This window comes from Homo sapiens, chromosome 2 (assembly GCF_000001405.40).
Source record: "Homo sapiens chromosome 2, GRCh38.p14 Primary Assembly".
In the NCBI taxonomy this organism is placed as follows: domain Eukaryota; kingdom Metazoa; phylum Chordata; class Mammalia; order Primates; family Hominidae; genus Homo; species Homo sapiens.
Genome location: NC_000002.12, coordinates 227,879,460 through 227,901,511, shown reverse-complemented (window position 1 = coordinate 227,901,511; position 22,052 = coordinate 227,879,460). Strand labels below are relative to the sequence as shown.

The 22,052-nt window shown below is 38.4% G+C and overlaps 1 protein-coding gene across 4 annotated transcripts in view; it reads right to left on the bottom strand.

Moving 5' to 3' along the window:
* Positions 1-22,052, bottom strand: part of DAW1 (dynein assembly factor with WD repeats 1) — a 52,714-nt gene that overhangs the window by 22,833 nt on the left and 7,829 nt on the right. For all 4 annotated transcript variants that reach the window (NR_138459.2, XM_047443536.1, NM_001330004.2 and 1 more), the window contains 5 exons: positions 16,089-16,161; positions 11,512-11,656; positions 10,199-10,257; positions 7,595-7,717; positions 3,231-3,330 (listed from right to left, as the gene is read on the bottom strand). Coding sequence is in view for 3 of the 4 variants with exons in the window: in NM_178821.3 (NP_849143.1) it covers positions 3,231-3,330; positions 7,595-7,717; positions 10,199-10,257; positions 11,512-11,656; positions 16,089-16,161 (500 nt within the window). In the remaining variant the exon portion in view is untranslated. The remainder of the gene's footprint in view (positions 1-3,230; positions 3,331-7,594; positions 7,718-10,198; positions 10,258-11,511; positions 11,657-16,088; positions 16,162-22,052) is intronic.

Genomic DNA, 22,052 nt, shown 5'->3' with positions numbered 1-22,052 from the left:
TTTCCTCTGGGCAATTTCAATTGCTCATTGGTTTCTACTGCCACCCAGATGCCAGTGACTCATGCATCCAAGTCTCTTTCCCAGACCTCACTGCTCAGTTCCAGTCCCAAAGAGCCAACTGTTAAATGGATGCCTCTGTTTGGCTATCACACAGGCAGCTTATATCAATCTAAGACACAAAAGTCATATAGATGCAAACCTGCTCCTCTTTTATGCACAGAATTGGTGAATGGCACTGCCCATCATGCAAACACAAAATCAGGGAATCCATCCTGGGTTCCCCTTTTCTTTTATGCCTCATAACTACTTAGTAACCAAGTTCTACTCACATTCTCTTCATCTATCTTTACAACAGGTCTTCATCATTTTTCACGTGGATTTCAGCAAGATCCCCAACTGGCTGATAACTCGGATTTTACCACCCTCCCATTTCTTTTTCACAGTGCCACAGAAATAATCTTTCCAAAGAGCACAGCTGATCATACCATCTCCTAGTCAAAAAGTCTCAACAGTGTGCCATTACCTACAAAATAAAATCCAATTCCTTAGCATAGTATATAACCTCCTGCATACTATGGCCCTTGCTTGCCTCTCCTACTTTAATTGCTCACACCCTGTGACCTGAATTTGAATGGGCTATAGGTGTGCCAAGGCATGGACACTTTTAACTCAGGCAGCTGGGCAGCAGCAGGAATCCTTGCCCATCACCTCTGGCCATGCACAGCAGGCAGCTCCCTTCAGTGTGCTGCAAATCCACATTCACATATTCTGCACATGCCACCACATGGAGGGTCAGGAAGCTCTGCTCTGATCACACAGAGCCACCTGAGTTTCAGGCACACATCACTGTTGCATGCCTCTTCTCAGCATTTTCCAGGGCTGCTCGGTCTGCCTGGAATGCACATGCCACCCCTCTGGGAAGTCTTTCCTGAACACCTTTCCTTGGCTCAGGAGGCCACACTGCTCCCTCTGTGTCCACACTGAAATCCCCATCCACTTCTGACACTTACAACACATCTTTGAACTTATCCATTGACACTTTTACTCCTTCTATTGAATTGTAAGAATTGTGTCTGATTCTCTCAGATACCCTAAGCATGTAGGCCAGGGCTCCACACATAGTCAATATTTAATAAATATTTATTAGATGGATGTTGTTGACTGTGAAAAAGATGAATGTCTCCCTAGGAATTATATCTAAAGAAAATATTCCCCAAAATCTAAAGGAGTGTGCAAAAATGGTCACACTCTAAGGACACACATTATGTTTTTCTTTGACTTTGGGCAAGTTACTTAAGCTTTCAATGCCTCAGTACCCTACTCTGTAAAATGGGAAAATACCTTCCTCTTAGGGTTGCTATGAGGCACAACTAAGCTAATACCTGTCTATGTAAAGGGGCTTAGGACAGTGCCTCTCAAACAGCAAGTGCTGTCAAAGGGTCAGTTATGTTTCACTGCAGTATTTCCAGTCACTAGCAAAGTAACTTCAACATAGCATGAGTTCTTTATGGATGAATATACCATGAATTTTTAGGATGAGTGTAAATAAATTTTACTTCTAAAATAAGCAGCTTGTTTTTGTTCCTGTTTTAAGGTGTACATAAATAAGCAGAATACAGGACCCTTTCCCATCTCCAGGTACTTTCCTTATCCTCAAGACATATTTCCAAGCATTTCACAGTCTGTTCTAGGTATCTTGTTCCTAAGTTCCAGGGGTGGGTGTGGGTGCTAGCACTTGAACACTGCTGGCAGATCGGCTGTCACCGACTATTCACAAAAGCTGTCGCCACTGTGGCTTGCTTTTCCTCCCTCCACCCCTGTATGTTCTTGTTTGCTCTTTCTGGTTCACAGCAGGTATCTTTTTTTCCAGTGAATATTGAGGTTAAAAGACCTGTCACTCTTTGTTATCAATTTCCTCTCTTCATCTACTAATAGTTATTAGCACATTCTTTTTATGTCTCTGTTCAATTCAAAAAGTACTGAGCTATATTTCCCTACTGACAGTTACAGGAGAGGTGGTTATATTTTGTTTCCTGCTTTAGCCTTTTCTCTCTTTGACCCTCAAAAGTCTCTATTATTTTTATACTACTACTGCATTGGTAAAGTGAGTACCTTCTATTTGTGGATTCTCTTTTGGTATTATCCACTTAAGAGTAACTTCAAAGTACAACAAAGTTAGTGAGTTAAATATCTAAAGAATCATTCTACCTAATGAAGGCCAGAAATGGAGGGAAAGGTGTGATCCCCATTAACAGACCAAAACATAACTTGGGGATTTGTTAAAATCAGATCAATTTTTCCTTATTTAAATCTTTGATTAAAAAGATTTAAGGTATTACTAATCATTAGGAGCAGCAGCCTGTTTATTTTTAAGAGCTATCATCTGTTCTTATGGAATGCCAATTATTGCACTAATTGTTATCAGATATGTCTCAGAATTGGTCAAGGACAAGGGCTTCCCAATAGTGAAAGCTGTTTCGAGTATCAGACTATTTAGGCAAATTTGAGCTCTAATGATATACAGAAAACAATCAGCCTAAATATTTAAATATTTCACATAGTAGTTTAAAAATTATTTTAAAAACTGTTTTCATAACTTAATTGACCCTCATTGAGTCAGTACTTTAAAGAAAAGCCAATTAAAAAGTAAGATTGGTTATTATATTTATAAATTTATCATATTACGTGTCTACTTAGTCAATGTAGGATACAGTTCTTTACAGAATCTGCAAGATATTAACTAGAGTAATTTTTAAATTGTATTGGTACCACCATATAAATATAGGCAGACTAAAAACATGGGGTAGAATTTGAAAATTAATTATAAAAGTAGCCCCACTACTTTTATAATAGAATCCTAAAAAGAAACAGCAACATAAAATATAATAATAAGGCCAGGTGCAGTGGGTCCCGCCTGTAATCCCAGCACTTTGGGAGGCCGAGGCGGGTGGATCACGAGGTCAAGAGATTGAGACCATCCTGGCTAATACAGTGAAACCCCATCTCTACTAAAAATACAAAAAATTAGCGGGGCGTGGTGGCGGGCGCCCGTAGTCCCAGCTACTCGGGAGGCTGAGGCAGGAGAATGGCATGAACCCAGGAGGCGGAGCTTGCAGTGAGCCAAGATTGTGCCACTGCACTCCAGCCTGGGTGACAGAGTGAGACTCCATCTCAAAGAAAATAATATATATATATACATAAAATAATAATAAATTGTTAAATATACTCACTATTTCTGCTGTATGACCCCTGAAGGTATGGTAACATTTTCCTGTTTCCACACTCCAGAGTTTACAAGTTTTATCAAAGGACCCAGTGGCGATTTTGTCACTAAGATTTAAAAGAAATGTAGATTATTTAAAAAAAGACACATTATATAATAAACTGAACTAAGATGAGATATTAATACATGAGTAAAAAATTTACTTCACTTCTAAAGCTATAAGCAATCTTAAATTTGTTTCAGTGGATAATAAAATAAAAGTCTAATTTTTGAGTGGTATCGATTTACACATTTAATTTTAAAGGTTTTATATTAAAGTTATAGGTATATTTGTTTGGGATTATAATAATTTTTAAAATGAGTTTAATGAATGTAGCAAAAGGTTTAGTTTAGAAAATTACTTACAAATTAAAATAAATAATGTATAGTATGAACTGTGTAAACATAGAAAAATTATGTTAATAAGTATATGGAAAAGAATAACATTGAATATAAAAGAGAAATGAAAAAAGATAAATCCCATTAAAAATATGGTTAATAAGGTTTTGAGAATTTAGACGGTGCTTGTCCTCTTAAGGAAATAATGCCTATATTATTCCAGTTGTAAGAGGGTTTAGAAAGGAAATACAAAGACTTCAGTCACTTTCAACTAAGAGGCTTCTCATATTGACTGCGGGGCAGAGCTAACATCAACAACCAACAAGCAAGAGTAGATTACCCTGTTTGGCCTTTGATCTTGGAACTAAAACCTTTCTTTTAACCCTGGCTTACAACTGTCTTTTACACCAGCTCTTCAAGATGTTCACCCAATTGGATTATCATTTACAGTACAAGCTCAATTTCCCAAAGTGTAAGAGATCTCACAACCCAACACATATATCCTAAAGCAGACTAGAAATGTATATTTATCCAAACTAACATTGATGCCTTGATTCTCCCCCTTGTCCCAGGACACCCATATTTCTATAGTGTCTAGGTGGTCTCTCAGACTAAAGCAAAGTGCCATCCTCTTTGTCAATGCTCCAAGGGCAGCTTGTACTGGCAAACACTCACCCACCCAAAGCTTCCTAACAGAGTGTCTGACCTAGCTTTCTCCTCTGGTTTCCAGCCCAGGGCATTTTACTTCAGCTGCTGATGTCTTCCAATACGTGCTCAAGATAAGCTCAAAGCCCTGTGCTTTTTTTTTTTTTTTTTTCTTTTTTTGAGACAGAATTTTATTCTGTCACCCAGGCTGGAATTCAGTGGTGCGATCTCAGCTCACTGCAACCTCAACCTCCGGAGCTCAAGCAGTCCTCCTACCACAGCCTCCCAAGTAGCTGGGACTACAGGCACATGTCACCATGCTTGGCTAAATTTTTTTTTATTTTTTGTAGAGATGAGGTCTCACTATGTACATTCTTTATCAGTTCCCTCAATTCATTTTTCCATTCTTCCTGGCCCTCAAACATGAGTGTGGAGTTGCTGTTGTTTCTTGACTGATATCTATTCTATCACAAACTGTTCTCTATATCCACATGACACCACATTATAGAAGATATCTCTCATGTCAATGTGTTGAGAATTACTTTATTGAGTCAAAGCTTACTCCTGCCCTAAGGTATAAAGCAGATAAACAGTAAATTGGTTGAAGTTTTTCCTTTCTCTCTCTCTCTCTCATACACACACACACACACACACACACACACACACACACACTCCCTCTTATTCTTTGGTGATTGTGTTGAATTTATGCTACTGAAACCCCAATGACCCCAAAGTGCAATGAGAAACACTGCATTCACGCATACATAAATCATCAGGCGAAGATAACTGATTGGACACGTGGGTTTTTCATCAGGGGCTCTTGGTAGAATTCAGTTGAAGAGTCAAAAAGTATCCCTCACCTCCCCAACAAGAGAAAACTTCATTCTCAGATAGACACCCAAACACATCATGTTTGTTAAGTAGACTATTAAAGGATATGGCATTATGTTATAGAGAATATCCTTTAAATAGCATTGCAGTGAAAGTAGGAATTATACCAGATGTAAAATAGTGTCATTTATAATTTCAATAAAATCTTTATCTTTTCATAAGCTGGCATAATAAGGTATTATAAAAACTGTCATTCTCTGGAATATAAAAATGCATAGATCAAAGTTAAATTTTCTAAAACTTAATTGGAACGCTTAATCACTTTAATGTACCAATTTAAGTTGGTGCCATCACAATTAACATGTTTTGAAAGGGTACTACATTTCTAAAAGATATTATATTGGCAACCTAGATATCAAGTTTTTTAACTGTAGTATAAAATGTCTATTCTAAGTGTATCAAATTTTTATGAAATTCCTCTATTCTTCCTGCCCCTTCCCAAGCAATGAGTGTATTATGGTATCATGAGTGTATTGTCATATCTGCATCCTAAATGACCTCCTTGTGTCTTGTTTCTTCTCACATCCAAACCCTCTGACCTCTTCTGTCTGCCAGAGCTATCCTTCTATTTAAAACATCACTTTCATTTTTCCCCTTTTTGTTCCCAAATCCTTGATGGCAACTTGGTCCCACAGGACAGAGTTTAAACTCCACTGAATGCTCTGACCTCACGCACTTCTGTTTTTCAACATGAAATGCTCACTGCAGAGACTGGCCACTGAGTCACTACAGAGACTGGCCACTGAGTGTGCCCGATGAATCCCCTCCTGGAGACACTGAGCTGCTGAGGTCTCTTTGCCCCGTGTGTCCTCTCCACTGCTCACCACCCTCCATCCTTCTGGCATCTTCTTTCGGCTCACACCATCTCCAAAGACTCTTACCAGGAGAAATCACAGTGATCACTTTCTTGTCTTAATTGTTAAATCATTTACTGTTTTGTTCTAGTCATCATAACACTATAGTAAATGAACCATATTTATAGAACCAGCTTCCTTTATGGAAAAATTCATTTAGCATGTGCAATCATGAAAAAATACTTGCTTGTCTAAAAAAGGTATATTCCATTAGATATAAATATATATTTATTTGCCAATCTTTTCACAAGAGGCCACTGTCTTTCTTTGACTGTGTGTCAGCTAAGTGGAGTTCACCATCTGTCTTTCAGAAATCGTATCAAACCTCTACAATATCTAGTTTTCTTTTCTTGCAAGTGGAATGAGAACTTAAAGAACTTAAACATACGTGCAGAACAATCTGAGTACAGAATTTTTCTAGATTTTGACAGTGTGATTTCCAATTGAACATTGATCTCCTCCACAACTTCATTTAGTTGTGAAACAATTTTTCAAAGATTTGCCTTATTTATGCTTCCCTAGAAAAGACCAGCTTTCTTTTCACACTCATATTTTATTGGTTTATGTAATATTTAGTTAAATTACACGTTATGTTACACAATTACAATTGAAAGTACAACCAACATAAGCGCATTGGTTGACAAATACAACTAACTCTTGATCAGCTTAGAACCTAACCAGCAGGAGGAGGATGCCCATTCCGGCGGGTATGTTCACTGCTATAGATGTTCAGGGTGCCATGGGAATCAGCAGTGTGTCATGAGGAAGAATAGAAGACACTGTGCAATCTCCTGTTCATTATCTAGAGGTTGGTTTAAAAATACTTCTGTTGTACTTGGTATTGTTATTTAGCATGTTACCACACACATTTTTTTCCTGCCTGGCAAGACTGTAAATTAACTTCTAAATGAAGTAAACCATGCTGTGTGTGTCTGTCACATTCCCCCAGAGGCACCAGCCCAGAGCTGTGAACATCAATAGGCAGTGCCTGTCGGAACTCCCAAGGATTGAGAGTCAAGTCTTGCCTGAGCACGAACTCCAGCTCTCCTCTTTACTACCGTGCGATCCTTGGAAGCATATTTGAACCTTGTATTCTTTTTTTTTTAAGACAGAGTCTCACTCTGTTGCCCAGACTGGAGTGCAATGGTGCGATCTGGGCTCACTGCAACCTCTGCCTCCTGGGTTCAAGCGATTCCCCTGCCTCAGCCTCCCGAGTAGCTGGGACTACAGGCATGCGCCACCATACATTACATACATTAGCCCAGCTAATTTTTGTATTTTTAGTAGAGATGGGGTTTCACCACGTTGGCCAGGCTGGTCTCAAACTCCTGAGCTCAAGTGATCCACCGCCTCGGCCTCCCAGAGTGCTAGGATTACAGGCGTGAGCCACCACGCCCAGCCTTAAACCTTGTATTCTATATGCGGATAGTGATAGCTAACCCAAAGACCCTTTTAAGCTTTGAAGGAGGTATTTAAAAGGCTTCCAAAGCACATACCAAGCACTCAATAAATTTAGACCTCTTGTCTTCTTCCCTTTCTCCCCAAGCAGATGGAGGGATGAATAAATGAATTAATAAACAAATAAGTGAAGGGATGAACACACCCGTAAGGATTGTTGAATGCTATGGCATAAACCACATTCCTGTGGCCCTCCAGCGTGTTCAGCTCCTCTCCAGACGCAGTGTCCCAGAGCTTGCACGTCCGATCATAGCTTCCTGTGATAAAGCTAACACAAGGAATATAAACACGTTGCAGGGAAGAATGGCAGTGTGTTAATAAAGACTTCATGTTTTACCTGTAGGATAATAACTCTATTTATTATGCTGTTTGTTTGTTTGTTTGTTTGTTTAAGAGGGAGTCTCGCTCTGTCACTCAGGCTGGAGTGCAATGGCGTGATCTCGGCGCACTGCAACCTCTACCTCACAGGTTCAAGCAATTCTCCCGCCTCAGCCTCCTGAGTAGCTGGGATTACAGGCACCCACCACCACGCCTGGCTATATTTTTTGTGTGTGTTTTTAGCAGAGATGGGGTTTCACCATGTTGGCCAGACTGGTCTTGAACTACTGACCTTAAGTGACCCGCCTGCCTCAGCCTCCCAAAGTGCTGGGGTTACAGGTGTGACACACCACGCCTGGCCTATTATGCTTTTTACAATGGAAATCATGTGTGCAGAACAAAAAGTTAAATTGAGAACAATGTCTAAATTGGGATATATTCCATTGTTCCCTCCCCCAACCCCCACCCCACCCCCGAGACAGAGTCTTGCTCTGTCACCCAGGCTGGAGTGCAGTGGTGCGATCTCAGCTCACTGCCACCTCTGCCTCCGGGGTTCAAGCGATTATCCTGCCTCAGCCTCCCAGGTAGCTGGGATTAGAGGTGCGCCACCATGCCTGTCTAATTTTTTTTTTTATTTTTAGTAGAGATGGGGTTTCACTGTGTTGGCCAGGCTGGTCTCCAACTCCTGACCTCGTGATCTGCCCACCTCGGCCTCCCAAAGTGCTGGGATTACAGGCGTGCGCCACCACACCTGGCCTATATTCTGTTTAATAAACAAATGAATGGTTCCTTTAACATAGCTATTCTCCTACAGGAATAGTGAATAGAGTGTAATGTAAAATAGCAGCATCTTAATCATTCCTTCAATATTCAATTAAGAAAGAGACTTTCTTTCTAAAATATCTCTGAAATCAAAATATTGCTTCAAAAGTATAACAAAAATATATTTCCCCAGCACAGAAAACAACCCACAAAATTGAAAAGCCAGTCTGAATGTCAAGTGGTAACAAGAAAAGGTGAAGAAAAGTCTAATAGCGAAACTCAACTAAACAGGCAGGTTGACAAGACAAGGTATCTTTGATTCTCTCCTAGGTATTTTCCTTCTACCATCTTCTCCCACAGACTTCTTCTACCTTTGGACAGATGCAAACTCGCATTTGCAACTATACACATATATACTATAGATACTTTATGGGTTGAAATATATGCCCTCAAAATTTATATGTTGAAGTCATAATCCCCCAGAACCTTAGAATGTGAATGTATTTGGAAATAAGATCTTGCAGATATAATTATTAATAGTTAAGTTACGGCTGGGCGTGGTGGCTCACGCCTGTAATCTCAGCACTTTGGGAGGCCAAGTTGGGCAGATCACCTGAGGTCAGGTGTTCGAGACCAGCCTGACCAACATGGAGAAACCCCGTCTCTGCTAAAAATACAAAAAATTAGCTGGGCGTGGTGGCAGGCACCTGTAATCCCAGCTACTCAGGAGGCTGAGGCAGGAGAATTGCTTGAACCCTAGAGCTGGAGGTTGCAGTGAGCCAAGATCGTGCCATTGCACTCCAGCCTGAGCAACAAGAGTGAAACTCCATCTCAAAAAAAAAAAATTATTAAGTTAGGATGAGATCATGCCGCAGTAGGGTGGGCCCTAGTTCAATACATCCTTATAAGAACAGGCCATATAGGCACAGACATGCACAGGGAAAACCATGTGAAGATGAGGGCAGAGCTCAGGGTGATGCTTCTCCACACCAAAGATTGCCAGCAAACCACCAGAAGCTACAGGAGCTGTGGAACAGCTTCTTTCCCAAGGCCTCAGAAGGAACTGACCCTGATGACACCTTGACCTCTGACCTCTAACCTCCCCAACTGTGACACAATACATTTTGGTTGTGTAAGCCACTCAGTTTGTGCTACCTTATTATGGAAGCCTTAGCAAACTGCTTATTTTATGTCTAGTTTGTGTTTATTTTATGTCTGTAGGTCAAGACGAGACTTCTCCCTCATCTCTCCTACCTAGCACGTCAGCTCCCAAGCTGATCACAGCCATGCTCTCAACAGAGACTTGAAGCTGCTGTTTGCCATACCCCAAATCACTGACCTAGATGGAAAGTGCCTGCTCTGAATAGACTGATCACAACCAACCAAGTTAGATATGAGGCCACCCTGCCCGACTCATTCCTGAGTTGAGTTCTTCAGTAGCTACATTTGCTGAGAACCCAATATGCCTCCCATTCACTGCAGCACAAATACGACAGAAAACTCAGATTAGAAGAGTGGGAGAAAGGGTTTATATTTCTCCTCAGTATCCAAGGGAGTACTGAAATCAGAAAAATGAATATATTATGTACTTATCTAACTGGAATCTTTGATAAATAAACACAGAAATTTGTTTCACTGCTAAAAATTAGACATAAAAAGAGAATCTTACCATGAGCCCGATTTGTTAAGTGCAACATTAGTCAGTGGCAATATATGTGCTTTGAGAACCTTCAGTGAAAGAAAACACCATTTTTTAGACTCAAACCAAATTAAATTTGTTAGTTATAACTTCAAACCAATGAAGACATTCAATTTTTTCTTAATTATACATCAGAAACAGGCAATATCTGATTTACCTTTAGACAGTGCTATGTGGCATCTTATTGATAGCACTAATTTGTAACATTTTCTTTTACATATGGCATGTGGTTTTGTATACATGTATAAACTGGGTATGTAGGAAATACACTAAATATGTTTCAATAAAGATTTGACAATGTATTATGACTTTATGAATCCTGAAGCTCCTTTAGTGTCAGAATATGTCTTCCTTATCTTTCAATCCCTACAACATCTAACATACAGTGAATGTTTAATGAATATTTATTGAATGCATATACATAAATTGGACAATCTATTAAGAGTGATTGGCTGGGCTGGGACAGTCCAAGTTATGTCTGTTACCAAAATGTAACTATGAATAGCATCTACTTTCACCATCAAAAATGTTCCCTTTGGAGAATAAATTGAGACACGCTAGTTATACAGCTCATATTTGAAATTAAACAGTGCCACCTACTGGACAAAGAAATGTTACAAGACTATAACATCCTCTTCCAGAAACGAATGCCTGGATATTTTGTATCAGGTGAGTCTATAACTAATAATTATATGTTACTATCATAATTATATTTAAATCATAAAAGATAAAAGCAGTGTAATATGAAGTAATTCTAAGGTAATGACAAAGGAAAATTAAAAGCTTTCCTTGAAGTACTAAACGACTATATTTGCTATATTTAATCATCAAAAAAACTATTTAAAAAGCATATTTACATCACATTAAAATTATATGTCATACAAATAAATAATTTACTGAAATATGGTTTAGTTCACATGAAAGCAGAAAATACGAAATGTTGATTTGTCATAAAACACAACTTCTTAACGTTACTTTAACTAGAAAAAAAGCTTTAGTTATTCCATAACTTAAAACTATCTTAATAATAATAACCCTTTAAATTTATCATTATATGAAGAGCTGAAATCTTTATTTAACCTCTCAAGGAATAAGTGTTTTGGATTTCACTCATTCATTTAACAAATAATTATTGGGACAATCTTAGCAAACATATGTGAGGCACTACAATCAATCACTGACATGCCTTTTTCATGAAAAAATATTTTTAGGGAAAGAAAAATTAATAAAATATCAATCATTTCACTGAAATTCTTCTATCTGATTGTTTTTAAATCCATTACCTTAAAAAGATAGAACGTGTGATTGCTGTTCTGGCCGAGTTTCTCTTGCAACCTCTGTATCAAAAGTTTGACTTGCTCTGTTCGTGAAGCTGTGAGTAGAGGTTCTGCCTTCTGGATTTCTTCTACTAACGCACTGACATCAGTGCTGAAATACACCCAAAAAAGAGTTTCTTTTATTTTATGTCAAAATTTGCATATACCTATATTACATGAAGAATTGATTGTATTGCTTCATGAAGCACATTTATAAAATGTCAAAAACACCATTATCTTTCCCAAGAGATATCTGGGGGTGGGGCGGGGAGGATCATACAAATCAGTAAATAGATGATGGCAGGAAAGCAAGAAGCTTGGATTTTCTACAACATATTTTTCCAAAGCTAAGGCTTGTTTCATGGAGGGTGTGCCAAGAGTCTAATGTTCTCACCTAGTGTTGTGGTTTGAATGTTTGCGTCCGCTCTAAAATTCATGCTGAAACATGTTCACCAATGTCACAGCATTAAGAGGTGCGGCCTGAATAGGTAATTAAGTCACAATGGTGGAGCCCTTCTGAATGGGATTAGAAGCCCTGATAACAAGGCTTGACAAAGAGAGTTCATCCCTTTTGCCCTTCTGCCCTCTGCCATGTGAAGACGCAGCATCAAGGTGCCATCCTGGAAGCAGAGTGCAGCCCTCATCAGATGCCAAACTTGTAGGGGCCTTGATCTTGGATTTCTCAGTCAGAACTACGAGAAACAAATAACCCTGTTTCAGGTCTTTCTTTTTATGGCAGCACAAAATGAATGAAGACACCTAGGAAGGCCTAGTCCATACTAGTTCTGAACATGAGCTCTTTTTCTTTCTTTCCTGTTTCTTTTGAATGAACATGTATTGAATGTTCCCAGCAGCATACTTTTCACTTTACATATGTTCTCTTATTTAATCCTGTAACAATCTGCTAATGTAATGCTTTTATCATAATTATTTTAGAGATGAAGAAACTGAGGTTCAGAAAGATTAGATTTAAAATATTTTTAGGAAAAGAGAAAAATGCCTAACCATAAATTTAAAGCATCATAAGACTAATATTAATATTTATTATAGACTAAAATATTGTTTCCCTGAAAGATAACTGGTCTGAAAAATATACAGATAGATTCAAATTTTCTCTAGCATTCAAATAATTCATAGAAATTCTGAAAAATGTTGCTGGCACAGAATAATATTCGTTCAAAAAAAGGTATCAATGTATATACACCATGAAGCATCCAAAAAAGAGCCATTTCACAAATCATGTCACACACGTGTCCAGAAGATGCACTATGCAGATTCCCCCACCTTTAAGAAAGAATCAAGCCCAGAGTCAGGGTTGGAGCTTTGTTGCCTGACAGCTTCTAGCTGCAGCTCTTTCAGGCTGTACCTTGGCATTCCAGGCCAGGGCTGCCTCTTCTCTGGTGGCTCTCCGTCCACAGCTGAGCAGGGGCAGAGCAAGAGCCTGGCCGTTTCTCCCTGTGAGGCACTCCTCTAGCTGGCAAGTTTTGCTCCTGAGCTCTTCCAGATTGGCAGAGATTCTGTTGTCCCGCCTTCTTCATCGAGGTCAGATGGCTCCTCCCGCCTGATCCTGCTTCTGCTTCATGCCCTGGACTGTCACAAGTGTCACTGCCCAATAAACCTTTGACTCACCCACTTCTGTCTCAGTATCCAATTCCCATGAATGTGGCCCCTGATAAGTATCCCCCTCTTCACCTCATCAACAAACATTAAGCTCCAGTTTTGTGCAAGGCACCGAGCTAGGAACCTGCTCATTCAATTGACATTTATTGAGTTGGTACTATTGCTTTAGCACTGGGTGTGTAAAAGATATGGTCCCAGCTCTCAAGAAACATAATCTATTAGATTAGGAGTGAATATTTTGAACAAAAATGAACCAGGAACCATCCATAATAATAACTTGGATAAACCCTGAGATATTTCATTGTCAAAAAGATAATTAATTTCATAACAATTAAAAGGGTAAAAATGCCCCTTTGAAACGTTTTCAACAACTTATATAAAAACAGATTTCCTCGCAAGATCCAAATTAACCAGATAATCTACACGCTCCAACCCTGTAGGATTTTCATGCAATAATTCCAGCATGTCATCTATGGTGCCAGTGTTTTTACAGGCACAATACTTCCAGATTCTTGCACAAAACTAGAAATAAAATTCACACTTTTTTGAGACATTTATTTACTTTCTCATATCACCAAAAGGTCATGTTTATGAGTGGCTATGCCTTATATCTCCTCAGGAAAGCACAGCACGATTGAGTGACTATAGTTAATATGAAGACTTTCAAAGTGTTGAGTGCCTGGATTCACAGCCCACAAGTCCTTTTTGAAATCACCTAATAATTCATACTTCTTAGATATAAAAATCTGTGGTTTTGCAGAATGTCTAGCTGGAGGTTATTCTCTCATATAGAAGCTTATCTGTACCACTTGTGTGATGTTCTATGTTGTACAAGTTGTTTCTCAAACTAGACAAAAAGCCTATCAAGTGTAGGGATTATGAGTAATATCTTTATAGCCTCTTATAGAATCTAACCCAGATTAGATTCTTACATATGTGTTGAAGGTACATATACATAATTGCTGACTAAATAAACAAATGTCTCACAAAGAAACTTCCTGCATGCTAGCATCATCAAACAAATCAATAACATGTTCCATTTACAAAAATCACAGGTTGGGTTTGATATTAGGCCTCATCTTTTCTGAAAATAACAAAGATTGTTGTATTCAATGAAACTATCTGTGCCACTGTTCATTCTTTGATTTTAAAAAAATATCAATTGACTACCTTCTTTGTGCCAAGCACCCGAAATAAGACTTGGACCCTACATAGACCATCATCCTCTGAGCCATGCCCCAGCCCCACCCTAGACACGTGCTCCCAGAAACATCAAACCTCTCAAGTGGCAGCAACTCCAGGATTAAGAGAGCCCCTCTCTCATCAGTTACGGTGTCAAGTGGACTCATTATAAAACTAGAGAGCAGCCCATATAAGAAAGCTCCTTTTGCTTACGGTCTCAGGCCACAAACCTAAAACACAACATTTTTGTTTTGTTTCTTTTGTGATTTTCACCCATTGAGATTATTTTCACCTTATCTGAACTTAGGCTCTCACAGGATAATCACTAGTCTGACTCTCTCTTGAAGTAGGATGTTTGTTTGTTTGTTTGTTTGTTTACAAAGACAGAGTCTTGCTATTTTGTGTTGCCCGGGCTGGTCTCAAACTCCTAGCCTGAAGTGATCCTCCTGCCTCGATCTCCCAAGATGCTGGGATTACAGGTGTGAGCCACCACACTTGGCCTTGGCCTTGAAGTGGAGTTTTGTATGAGATTTCTTTTCTTTTTTTTTAAAGACAGAGTCTCACTTTGTCACCCATGTTGGAGTACAGCACCGCGATCTCAGCTCACTGCAACCTCTGCCTCCTGGGTTCAAGCAATTCTCCTCCCTTAGCCTCCTGAATAGCTGGGACTACAGGCATGCACCACCATGCCTGGCTAATTTTTGTATTTTTAGTAGAGACGGAGTTTCCTCATATTGGCCAGGCTGCTCTCGAACTCCTGACCTCAAGTGACCCTGCTGCCTCGGCCTCCTAAAGTGCTGAAATTACAAGTGTGAGCAACCACGCCCAGCTATTTGCATTAGATTTACTAAAGAGAATGAACTCTGGGTGTTATTACATCACAAGAGGTTTCCTCTGGGCTAATACCAAGCTTCAGTAATAGAGATTAGGTCTCCCTTTTCTGCCCCATGACAATTAATGAGGAGGAACATATGCAGTCAGCCCTATGAAGTATTTAATAAGAAAATAACAGGCTCAGTAATATTCTTAAAACTCAGTAACAAGTACTTCTCAAAAATGTAAAGGTCACTGGTTGGGCACAGAGAATCGCTTGAACTCAGGAGGCGGAGGATGCAATGAGCCGAGATCGAGCCACTGCACTCCAGACTGGGCAACAAGAGTGAAACTCTGTCTCAAAAAAAAAAAAAAAAGGAAAGAAAAAGAAAGAAATTAAGGTCAGCAAAAATAAGGGAAGTCTGAGAAACGGTCGCAGCTTAAGGAAGCTTAAGGACACATGATGGCTAAATGTCATGTAGGATTCTGGATGGAATCCTGGAACAGAAGAAAGGAATTAGGGAAAAACTAAGAAAAACTGAATAAAGTGGGCCTTAGCTAATAATTATGTATCATACTGGTTCATTAATCCTAATAAATGTACACCGCTAATCTGAGATGTTAACATCAGGGGAATCGGGGTGTGGAAACTCTACCTTCACGGCCTTTCTAAAATCATAAACTAAAAGGTTTATTTTTTTAAGACCTTAGAAAAAAAAGAAAAGAGTGATAACCCTTTTCCCACTTCCTCTTCATTCAGCAAGACCCTCAGATACAACTCCCTGAAACAAACAGAAACTAACACACCACAGAAGAACAATTTTTAAAACATAATGTATTATCTGCAGTTTATGCAGCTCATCCACACATCACTCTGTGTCAAGGCTTCCCAGTGAACATTTATTTGTTGAATCCTACAGCTTACTTACCTGGGACCAAGATCAAGCAAATCTATGGACTTAGTCTTTAATTCTCCATGTTTTTCATATTCCAACATAATTCCTATAGAAATAAACAAACATGTTATAAAACACTTACGATAACCACCTATGTCAAAAGTTAACCTACCTTGCCACAGTTTTTTCCATTTTTATTTTTAAAATTTTTAATTTTTTAACAAAAAATAAGCAGTGATATCTAGTTCCAAAACAAGATCATGTAGACAAACTTTTCCCTGGTCCTTCCCTCTAAATATAACTAAATACCCTTGAAATTGTCCAATAGACAATGAAAAAATAATAGAAAGTTGGATGGAAGAAGGTAGACTGGCTATAGGTTTCAGGGCTTGAGGAACGACTACATGGTGAGATTCCCGGATTTTCTTTTTATCACCGCATTCCACACCCCAAAACTAGGACAAGAGGGCCCTATTCCCTGACCCACAAATGGGGCCCCTGCAAGCAGTCTGATCCCCCAGTGGAAGCTTGGGGCTGTTCCAGTTCCCAGTGCACATTCTGGGCCCCAGCAGGCAGTTGGATCTGGCTGCAGCCCCATCAACAAAGTCCTGGGACCTCCCAGACCCCACTCCACAGCCAGGCCATTGGTGGACAGTCCTATCCACTTGCAAAAGGGGCAACGGTGACATCCAGGGATGTCTCAGACCTCATTCCACAACCAGGCACTGAGGCAGCCTCAGCAAAGCCCTGCGTTTCCCTGCCTTCCAGCCAGCAGCATAATCAGGCCGGGAAGTGACCAGGAAGGCCACTCAGTGACAGCAGGCCTACTAGGGAAGTACCTTCTGCGCCCTGCAGGTGGCGCCAGCAGTGACTGAGCAGGAGCCTTAGCAGTACCCGAAAAAACAAAGGACAGTAACATTGCAAGAGCCTAGGAAACTACAGACACCATTGTAACCAACGCCCGCAAAAGTAGCCCAAGAGCACATATGACAAATCTAAGCAGATTTCGCCAAATTAGAAGGTTTAGATAGGATCAAGGATCCCCGTAATAATCAAAACGTCTAGGATACAATTTTTTAAAAATCACCTATTATACCAAGGACAATCAACAAACACCAATACCAAGATGAATCAGAGGTTGGAATCATCTGACAAGGACTTTAAAGAAGATATTATAAAAATCCTTCAATAATCATTTACAATTTCACTTGAAACAAATGAAAAAATGGAAAATCCCAGAAAATATTTATTAAACCAAATGAGGATTATAGAATTGAAAAATATGATAATGAAAATAAAAAACTTGCTAAGCGAGTTCAAAAGTAGAGATGACAGAGAATAGAATCTGTGAACTTGAAGATGGATCCATAGAATATATTCCATCCGAACAGCCCAGCGCTAATAAAAACTGGACAGAGCCTCCTAACCACCTTACTCTACTGCCTCTGCCTGTGGATATAAACTAGTACATCTCAAAAATTTGGCTTCAGGATCACCTTACACTCTTAAAAATTATTTAGGACACCAAAGAGTTTTTGGTTTTTTTCCATATTAAAAACTAAAATTGAGAAATTTTTTAAATATTTATTAAGTTGTTTTAAAACAACAGTAATTCATAGCATGTTATTTTTATAAAGTTTTTGTAAAAATAACTATATTTTCTTGCCCCTAAAAAGAGTAAGAAGAGTAGCACTGTTTTATACTTTAACAAATCTCTAATATCTGGCTTAAGACAATGGATTCTCATCTCTGCTTCTGCATTCAAGCTTCTGCTAAATGTTTTAGACAAAGTATAAGAAAAGAATGTAGTCAGACACTGATACATAGTTGAAAAATGAAGGAGTATTATAATTGCCTTTTTATATCATTGTGAACATTTTTTGATATTAAAACTCAACAAATGGTAACTTCTTAAAATTAGTTGCAATATAGAATCTGAAACCATATTAGTGAATTTTCCATATACTTGCATTAAACCTCATTGGTCTATTTCACACTTTTGATGGATCTTTTATTCATGCATGGTCCATGCATAATCATGCACTGGACATTTGAAAAATACTGATCTACTAAGTTATGCATATATTGTAACTGTTGACATATTTCATCACACAATATCAGAAAGTAACATTTACCATTTTCACTACCAATTTTTATCATAAGAAAACTCTTACTGTTGGTAAGCTGTCAAGATTATGGTGGTAAACAAAAGTTTTCTGAACTTATACTTTTTGCTTGAAAGCTAAAATACATCACTAGCAAGAAATGCTGGTATTTTTGCTTGAAAGTTGTGGGCTCACATTCTTCATTTTCAAGAAAATGTCTGCCAAAATGTCTGAGTCTGAAAACCATGTTGTTTCTCAGTCACTCTTTCAAGTAAAAATGCTTTTCCATGAAAAAAAGTTGGTTCATCTCGTAATTCAAGCAACCACCTATATTTTCCTTAAGACAACTGTATTAGTTTGTTTTTATATTGCTATAAAGAACTGCCCAAGACTGGGTAATTTATAAAAGAAAGAGGTTTAATTGACTCACAGTTCCTCATGGCTGGGGAGGCCTCAGGAAACTTACAATCATGGTGGAAGGAAAGGAGGAAGCAAGGCACCTTCTTCACAAGGTGGCAGGAAGAGAATGAATGCAGGAGGAACTACCAAACAATTATAAAACCATCAGATCTTGTGAGAACTCACTCACTATCATGAGAACAGCATGGGGGAACCTCCCCCTGATCCAATTACCTCCACCTGGTCTCTCCCTAGACATGTGGGGATTGTGGGGATTATGGGAATTATAATTCAACATGAGATTTGGGTGAGGACACAAAGCCTAACCATATCAACAACTATCAGACTTCACTGTAGAGCAGAAGTGCTTTCTTAGTACTTCCTATTTCATCACCTGGAATACTCAAAATACATGCACTCCTATGTTAATATTTTGCTACATTAATAATTTTTACTGCTTCATCAAGGAAATCCTCAAGCAAAACTAGGTTGTTCTGTTGGGATTTTTTTGATGTTTTCCTATTGTGAGTGTGTGTCAGTGAAGAATAAATACAGTGACCACTATTAGAGTTTGGTGTCACTGCCTCGATTTGTAGTAAGGCACCAGCAGTTTCACCTTCCACTGCTTCTGCACCATTAGTGACAATGTCAGCACAGTGTAGAAAAGGAAGTAACATCTTATTGTTATTATGAAAAATAAGTTTGACCTTGAGACCCTGCTGAAAGTGTTCAAGGGTTCCCAGGAGTCCTCTACAGTTTGAGAATCACTGCTATAGACCATAGTTTGATATAACAGATATAATTCTAGCAGTATTTCAGATCAAGGGAAAATAGGAAATGTTGCCAAAACACTCTATTTACTTTTCAAAAGCACTGAGCCATTGAGAAAGAATGTGGCAGAGGCCAAGTGCAGTGGCTCACGCCTGTAATCCCACCACTTTGGGAGGCCAAGGCAGGTGGATCACTTGAGGTCAGGAGTTTGAGATCAGCCTGGCCAACATGCTGAAACACCGTCTCTAATAAAAATACAGAAATTAGCTGGCATGACGGCAGGCACCTGTAATCCAAGCTACTTGGGAGGCTGAGGAAGGAGAATCGCTTGAACCCAGGAGGTGGAGGTTCCAGTGAGACAAGATTGCACCACTGCACTCCAGCCTGGGCGACAGAGTGAAACTCTATCTCAAAAAAAAAAAAAAAAAAAAAAAAAAAGAATGTGGCAGAGTTAAAAAGTGTATACTTGGCATCAGATAGATCCTCAACCCCTTATTTATGTCACGATCTGGCAAATGTCAATTTTCTCATCTATGAACCTATAAGTTTGCTGGTTGAGATTAAATAAGATGTATATGAAGAACCTGGCATAAAGTCTCAATGAACAGTGCTTATTTTCTAGCTATTAATCAAATGATACCTTGTGGCATATGCTACATGGTCACCTTGTATTACTTAAATTGCATTTATGCCTTCTCTTTCCAGTGAGATTGTAACATCTTTGAAGAAGGAAACATATCCATGCTATATGCTTCCCTATATTCCCAAAAAGACCCTTCTCAGGGCAAGTCATGATTTAAGCACAGCAGGCCTGTGATTTGTGTTCAGGTTCAAGTACGAGCAACACATTCAGATCCCTCTCTGAATTCCATTTCTCTATCAGCAGTGCCTGCCGTTACCTAGTATCTTCATGATCTTTCAAAATGCTCTAGCAGTGCTTGCTGAATACATGAACTAATTGGTAGATGATGGGAAGACTGTCCTCAAATTGCTTAATGCATTGGACATTCTCTGTCCTTACAGCACGTGGCCTTTCAGAAATAATCAATACTATAAACAATATGTCCTCCTTCCTCAAATATACCCTCTTTGGGCTTTTTATAAAATCTCTTCTTTCTCTTTTTCCAATCACTTTGTTATTTTTTATTCTCCTTTGTCCTCTTTTGCCTGACCTTTAAACACTAAGCATCTTTAAACTTCAGGTCTACAGATTCTTCTCGTCTCACCTTACATTAAATTCATCGGTACCATGTCTTTAATTACCATCAACATGCTAAGTATTAATTGCAAATCTCCAGTCTATATCTCCTCTGAGTTCCAGATACATAGATGTCTCCCTATCACCTCAAAGAGTTCAGGATCTTCTCCTTCAACACTGCTTCTCCTCTGGAGTTTCCTGCTCAGTGTTGGACATCACTACCCACTCAGCTGCACAGCTATGATCTCTCAGAGGGAATTTTTCTCAACCCTGTCTTGCTGCGCGGATGTGCTGAAACCTAAACAGGTAATCTAAGCAGCTGTTGCGTAATGAACTGCAAGATTTTAGAACAGAAAAGTAATTAAAAATGCTTTTAGTGACTCAAGAAACTGCCCAGAACACTACAGCACAGCAAGCAAATGCTAGTTAGAGGATAGTTTGGCATAATTTTGTTTTGTTGTTTTCCCCCCAAGAAGTAGTTCTTTTGTACTAAAGACCTGAAACCAAACTCTAGGATCAAAAGCAAACTAAAAAGAAAAAAAGAAAGATTCTGTGGAGAGCCAACCAGTACTTATTTCCCTAGAGTAAAAAAAAAAAAAAAAGACTGTTTGTGTCATATTAAACTTTTCAGCAAAATATGGACATTACAGCATTGTTAAAATATTTTTAAACCTAGCTGTATGCCACATGCTATAAAAAAGATTTAAGGTGCTTACAAAAGATAAATAGAATACAAAAAGCTAAGACTGGAAGAAGATAAGAAAGAGATACTGTATCCATTGAAGATACAGTTAATGGCAAGACCACATTTAATTGCAAAGAAAATTACTGAATATCTAAATATAGAATTAACAAGAAATGTGCAAATCCTAAATGTACTATTGAATATAAAAGAAAATTGTGATAAACGAGGAGACACATTTCTGGATGAGAAAACCCAATGCTGTAAAGATGTCATATTTACGAAGTTAATGTAATTATAATGATTTTACTTTTTGAAATGTGAAAATTTACTCTACCAGACATTACAATGAACTATAAAACAATAAAGTGTGGTTTTGATACAAAATTAGATCAATATAATAAAATCATCTATGCATCAACATTTAAAAATAAAGTGAAGGTAATATTTCAAGTTAATAGAGAAAGAATGTATTGTTCAATAAATGATGTAATACTATTTCAAATTAACAGAGAAAGAATGTATTGTTCAATAAATGATGTAATAATCAGTTGGATTTTTTGAAAAGTTAATAAAATAGATTTCTGCCACATACAATGTACAAAAATATTCCAGCTTGATTACAAATTTTAATATTAAAAATAAAATATAAAATATTCTAGATAATATAATGGATTTGTCTCTTAGTGCCTGTAATCACCTTTGTAAGTACATGAAATACAATAGCTATAAAAGAAAAAATTGACAAATTCGTCTAAAATAAATTATAAGCTTCTGTACAATAAAAGATACCACACAGTTAAAGGCAAATAATAATCAGCAAAGAAGTTTCAACCATAACC